Source organism: Homo sapiens, chromosome 3 (genome assembly GCF_000001405.40).
Source record: "Homo sapiens chromosome 3, GRCh38.p14 Primary Assembly".
Classification (NCBI taxonomy): Eukaryota; Metazoa; Chordata; class Mammalia; order Primates; family Hominidae; genus Homo; species Homo sapiens.
Window position 1 is genome coordinate 193,699,575 of NC_000003.12, and position 6,000 is coordinate 193,705,574.

Below are 6,000 nucleotides of genomic sequence, written 5' to 3' on the forward strand. Positions count from 1 at the left end.
TGGCTTCACAGGCAAGACCTTATGACACATCTATTTGAAGAAAATACACAGTCTCTTTTGCAGAAGTCTAACCTAATGACATGTCTTGATTATCACTGAAATTCATTAAGGATTACTAGATAGTACCAGCGGTTTCCCCTCCAGACACATGTATGTACTGCTCTCCTTGTGACAATGAGAACTCAAGACTTTACCATTTTCTTTGCTTCAGCTGCCAGGAAATGCTGAAATTAATTTCCCTCTCAACTGAAGGAATGAACCTAACCATTTTTCTGCTCCTTTAGTTTGTGTTCTATTTTTGTTATTAATCTCTCTTTCCATACATCTTAACGCAGAAACAGCTTTCTGTGTTAGTTTGCGTCACTAAGAAAATACAATGCTTACTTATTTCTCATTTTAAGAAATATATTTGTCTAGAGGGTTTAAGAATTCCCACATGTGCCATAATGCTCCAGGTGGTACACAGCCACTCCCCTTGCATACCTAATGTATATAATTTTTTTCTACAATCAATTCATATATATATATAGTAAAAAAATCAGAAATCACCTCAAGGACACAGTACACACCCAGTGACAATAACATGCCTGCCTCCCCGCTGCCGGGAGCAACACCACAGTAGCAGGAGGTGCCTGATGTGTGTTGAGAGGAAGGATGCAGAGAGATATGTGTAAGTTTGCAGCCATTCCAGAAATATTAACACATCCTAACTAAGGGCCTATTATAAAGGTCTGAGCAGGACTCAGAACACTACAAAGTAGACTAAAACTGGCCAGCAGCATTTTGGGATCCATGGAGAAACTCCACTGAATTCTTTTTGAACGGTCAATATCCTATCTTGCCAAGGATTGGTCCCATGAAACATTTTTGGTTTCCCTTTAAAATTTTGAAACTAAGAAGAAAACTTGAATCCAGAGCAAAGAAACCAGTATACCTTGTGTTTTGCACCCATTATCACAGAAAGTATTGTTTCCATTTTATAGATGAGAAAATCAGCTCAGGTTTTGCACAAGGTTATTCTAGTTGAATAGCAAAGTTGAAACTTGAAAACAAGTATGATTACAAGCCTATGCACTTTCCAAAATATGCTCCCTTTCAGAAATACTTTTCGGAAAGTAAACATTTATGATATTAGGAGCACATTAGGGCACATGATATACCTAGAAAGTACAAAATGACCTAACTCATAACAAAAATGGCCTATGATAGTCTTTACTAATTACATGAGGCTATTGTTGCATTGCAAGAATGGAACTATCAGCAGAGATGTGTGGCTGCCTGTGAGACCTTAGTGGACAAGAAGATGAGATTCAGTAGGTTCTAATTTCATGTTAACGCCAGGCCTTAAGTTTTAGGTGTAAAAAACAAGTGCTTTGCAATTCTCAACATGTTAATAATGTTAATTCTCTCATTTTATCCTGTGCAGATTCTGTCAATCTTTTTTAGTTAGTCCAAGTATTAAAATATGGAATTGCTCTTTCCTCAGTTTTTAAAAACTTGATTGAATATTTTCTTTTTCCAAATTACTATTTTTTTTTTTTTTGAGACAGGGTTTCTCACTGTCCCTCATGCTGGAGTGCAGTGACACAATCACAGCTCACTGCAACCTCGACCTCCTGGGCTCAAGTGATCCTCCCACCTCAACCTCTCGAGTAGGTGGGACTACAGGGACACACCACCATGCCTAGCTAATCTTTTTTTTAATTTTTAGTAGAGATGAGATCTCAATATGTTGCCAAACTGATCTCAAAATTCTGAGTTCAGGCAAGCCTCCTACCTCAGCCTTCCGGAGTGCTGGGATTATAAGCGTGAGCCACCTAGCCTGGCCCAAATTACTACTTTTGAGTGTCTTTCTGCGCCCCACCCCCAATAAAATTATTTTGAAGGAAAAGCTATTAGCAGAATTCTTTAAAATTTCTACTAAACTTATATTCCAGGTATCTCATGTACATTCTTTAATTTTCTTGCCTTGAGATATGTCTGGTTTCCCAAGACTATTAGGACCGAAAGACAGATTTTCATGCCAAAATCTGTATGAGTTATCTTTACCCGTATCAGAACATCTCTAATATGAATGCTTAATTGAACATGCCTGCCATTTGCTGCCTCTGCCATTTCATAGGCTGTTGGTACCATCACAAAGCCACTCCCACTTTCATACATTCAGATTTCTCAAAACATCTGAGACATTCACATTCTTGCTAATTATACTCATTGCTCTGGTCATAGCTGAATCAAGATTCTGAGAGTGTAATTTTGTTCGCGTCAAAAGCATTGTTTTCTTATCCTGTTGGTGGAGTGAGGCATTTGGACCTGGATGCTCTCCCCATTGGGCGCCCCCCGTTGGTACGTTTCGCCAGCTGTGTACTCTATGATTGGCTGGCCTTTTGATGTGCAGGTACTACAAGTTGGTCACAAACTTGTGTACAATGGGCCTGTTCTGGTTCATGTGAAAATCAACATCCTTTTTTGTGTTACCGGGTGACAGGATGCTACAATACTATTAGCATTTGCAAAGAGTGTGCTCTGTCCAAGGGTGTAACCACAGGTCGTGTGCTGCTCACTTTGTGTTTCTCTATTATGTGAGAGACACAAAGAAGCTGAGGGCTCGCAAAGGCCTGTCAAATCTTGTAATGTGGCGCTCGACCCCCAAACTCCACTTGGCCTCCAAGCATCTCTTGTTCCCTGTCCCACCCCTTTCTCTGAATGGGCTCTGAGGTAGGTAAATGAATTCAGGGGCCTGGTAGGCGGGGGATTCCTTTCTGGCCTCATTCCTGTACCATTTGTTTGCAGGCTTGTAGGGGGAGAGGAGGACATTTTGGAATCCTTTGTGTCAAATCATTTTCTTGCAGGTTGGGGAGTTAATGGTAACTTTGTCTGAAGCCAGCCAAGCAGAAAGCCTCCACGGATGAGGCGTGGTATGCTCAACCTCCTCAAAAACCACAAGATGAGAATGTGGAAATGGGGAACTTTCTAGAGCAGATGAGTATGGGACAAGTCTGCATGTGCCACATCTAATGGGAAGCTTAAACCTTCCTGTGTATTTAGGCATACAGTAGTTCATTTTAAGAGGGTTTTCCTCTTTCTGAATCATCATGGTGTTTTTATTGATACCTGTAGTTTGGATAATCTTTTGTGCAGCCAATATTTATATATTCTGCACCATTTTGAAAGCCTTCTACTACCTGGTTACCTGTATGTATCGTGTGATTTCAAGAAGTTTTACCATGTTTTTGTCCTCGGATTTACTTTGTTTACCTAAAAAATGAACTATTGTTTTAGAACAGTGATAACTCTTACTTTGAAAAAAAAAAAAAAAGAGAGAGACCCAGAGAAAAGCAATTTGCTCAATTAATGTTACAGCTAGAAACTGTTCCCTGATTCCTAGGCAAGTACTATGTGTTTCATGAAGATTTAGACCCAGGGCCACAGGTTCAATACTTCCAAAGCCAGTCGTTTTGTGAAAGAAGTTGGGGATCTATTTATGTGAAACTTCCCTATTTTTAAATGTTAGCAGCTAATTTTGAAAATCTTAAATACTTGTGTGAGTCCAAGAGAAACATCTGCAAATAGCATGCTTCCCACTCGTGAGTCACTATTTGAAACCTCTGATTTCAACTATAGCTTTCTGCTCATTTCTGGCCTCGGTGCATTTGGGTGATAATAGTACCAAGGCCTTCTGAAAATAACATGATTTCTGGTCATTTTTAGAGATGCAGAGTTTTTTGTTGTTTCTGCTTTATTATGAGGCTGGACTGGAGGGAAATTCTCATTTATTAAATGCCTGCTGTATCCCAGGTACTTTAAACACATTATCTTGCTTATTCTTACAACTTCCTAAGGCAGGCATTGTCGTTTACCAACAGGCTAACTCTGGCTCAGAGAGGTTGCCTCAAGTTCCACCGCTGGCTGGTTGACAAAGTCTTTATGGGATCCCATGTAGGTTTGACTGCAGAGCTTAGAAAAAGAGCAGGTACAGAATGGGCTGGAAGAGTACTAATAGCTTTCTTCCCTTACCCGTTCAACCATCGTAAGGAGGCAGTTCCTTTTCATATCATGAGCTGGTTGGCAAAAAAGCGTTACTCTATTCTGGGTACTCTGGATATAGTTACCTAGAAATAAGGCAAGTGAAGGTTTAAAATATTCAGGAATCCCAGCATCTAGAAATAAGTTGGCCTCTTCTGTGAACCCTATAAAGATGCTCCTTGACTTAGGATGGAGTTACATCCCAATAAACTCATCATAATTTGAAAATATTCTAAGTCTAAAATGCATTTTAATACACCTCACCTGCTGAACATCACATCTTAGCCTGGCCTACCTTAAACATGCTCAGAACACTTACATTAGCCTGCAGTTGGGCAAAGTCATCTAACACAGGGCCTATTTTATAATAAAGTGTTGAATGTCTTGTAATGTGCTGAATACCGGCCTGAAAGTGGAAAACAGAACAGTTTTCTGAGTACTTGAAGTACAGTTTCTACTGAATGCATATAGCTTTCGTGCCACCATAAAGTTGAAAAGTTATCAATCAAACCATTGTAAGTCGAGGACTGTCTGTGTATCTGTAAACTCCACTGTGTTTCATTCACAGCCATCCTCCTTGAAAGAGAAGTCCTCCCCATTCCTTCTTCAGCCCCCTCAAAGCCAGTGTTTTCTTTTACCATCTGGGCCCTTGCACCATATCCTCACCACCACCACTGCCACTTTGCCATCTGCCCCTCAGCAAGGCCACCAGTGACCTCCATTTGGCTAATTGCCCTCAATACATTTATTATTTGGCTTGGTCCCTTAAGGTTATTTAATATTTTGTGATAACCTTTCATTCTCCCTCTCCTCCCTCTGGGACATTTAGAACTTTGTAACATACATTCACTCGCCCTCTCTCTCTCTCTCTAACCTCTTATTTCTTTGGCTTCTGTGCCACTACTTTCTCCTGGTTTCCCTTCTAATAACAAAATGCCTATTGGTTTTCAGTGCTGCTCACAGGCCTGCCTGAGTGTTGTCGTTCCCTGAACACTCTGCGTTTCTTGACCCTACTTCTCCCTGGCTGATCAGCTCCCCCTGCTGTATCTGCTCCTGGCTCTCAACTCGAGCTCCATCCTGTTCCTCTCTCCATGCTTCACAAACCCATATCGCCAACTATACCTGCATGTCCCACAGGCACTTCACACTTAACCTATCCAAAATGCAACCAATTCTTTCTCCAGTAAACCTGTCTCTTCTCCAGATTCCACTATTTTTGTGACAGACACTGTGATATACCTAGTTGCACAAGACAAAAACCTGGGACCCTCTCCCCAGTGCAACCAACAAATCCAATCACCACTTTTTTTTTTTTTTGAGACAGAGTCTCACTCAGTTGCCCAGGCTGGAGTGCAGTGGCACGATCTCAGCTCACTGCAACCTCCGCCTCCCAGGTTCAAGCGATTCTCCTGCCTTAGTGTCCGGAGTAGCTGGGACTACAGGTGTGCACCACTACGCCCAGCTAATTTTTTTTTTTTTTTTTTTTTTTGGTATTTTTAGTAGAGACAGGGTTTCACCACGTTGGCCAGGCTGGTCTCGAACTCCTGATCTCAGGCTATCCACCCACCTCGGCCTCCCAGAGCACTGGGATTACAAGCGTAAGTCACCACGCCCGACCCACCAGTTTAATATATTTGTACCCCTCCACTCTTTCCCATCCTGTCTGCACAGATCAGGTGGCCCCCCATGTCTCACCTTTGTTGTTGCCATGGGCCTTCATTTTCATCTCCTGTTCATCCCCCACACTCCTGCCAGAATGAAATATCTAAAATGGGAACATGATCATTTGATGAAAATCTGTCTCCAGGTAGCTTTATTTCTCCATTGATAAAATAAGAGGGTTTGGTTGGATGTTCATTCAGCGTTCTTCTAATGCTGACATTTGTGAAAACTTTAATTCTGTTTTATATAAAACTGCCCTTAATTGGCATAGAGCTTTTTTATCTCATTTAATCTTTAAAATATGTCCACAAG

At 41.2% G+C, this 6,000-nt stretch overlaps 1 annotated feature.

Annotated features, from left to right (window-relative positions):
* Positions 2,558 to 2,617: an enhancer, noted in NCBI's record as "active region_21004". NCBI's record gives its function as "activates an Ori minimal core promoter by ATAC-STARR-seq in GM12878 lymphoblastoid cells {active_cell/tissue: GM12878}" and the evidence as "EXISTENCE:reporter gene assay evidence [ECO:0000049][PMID:35858748]".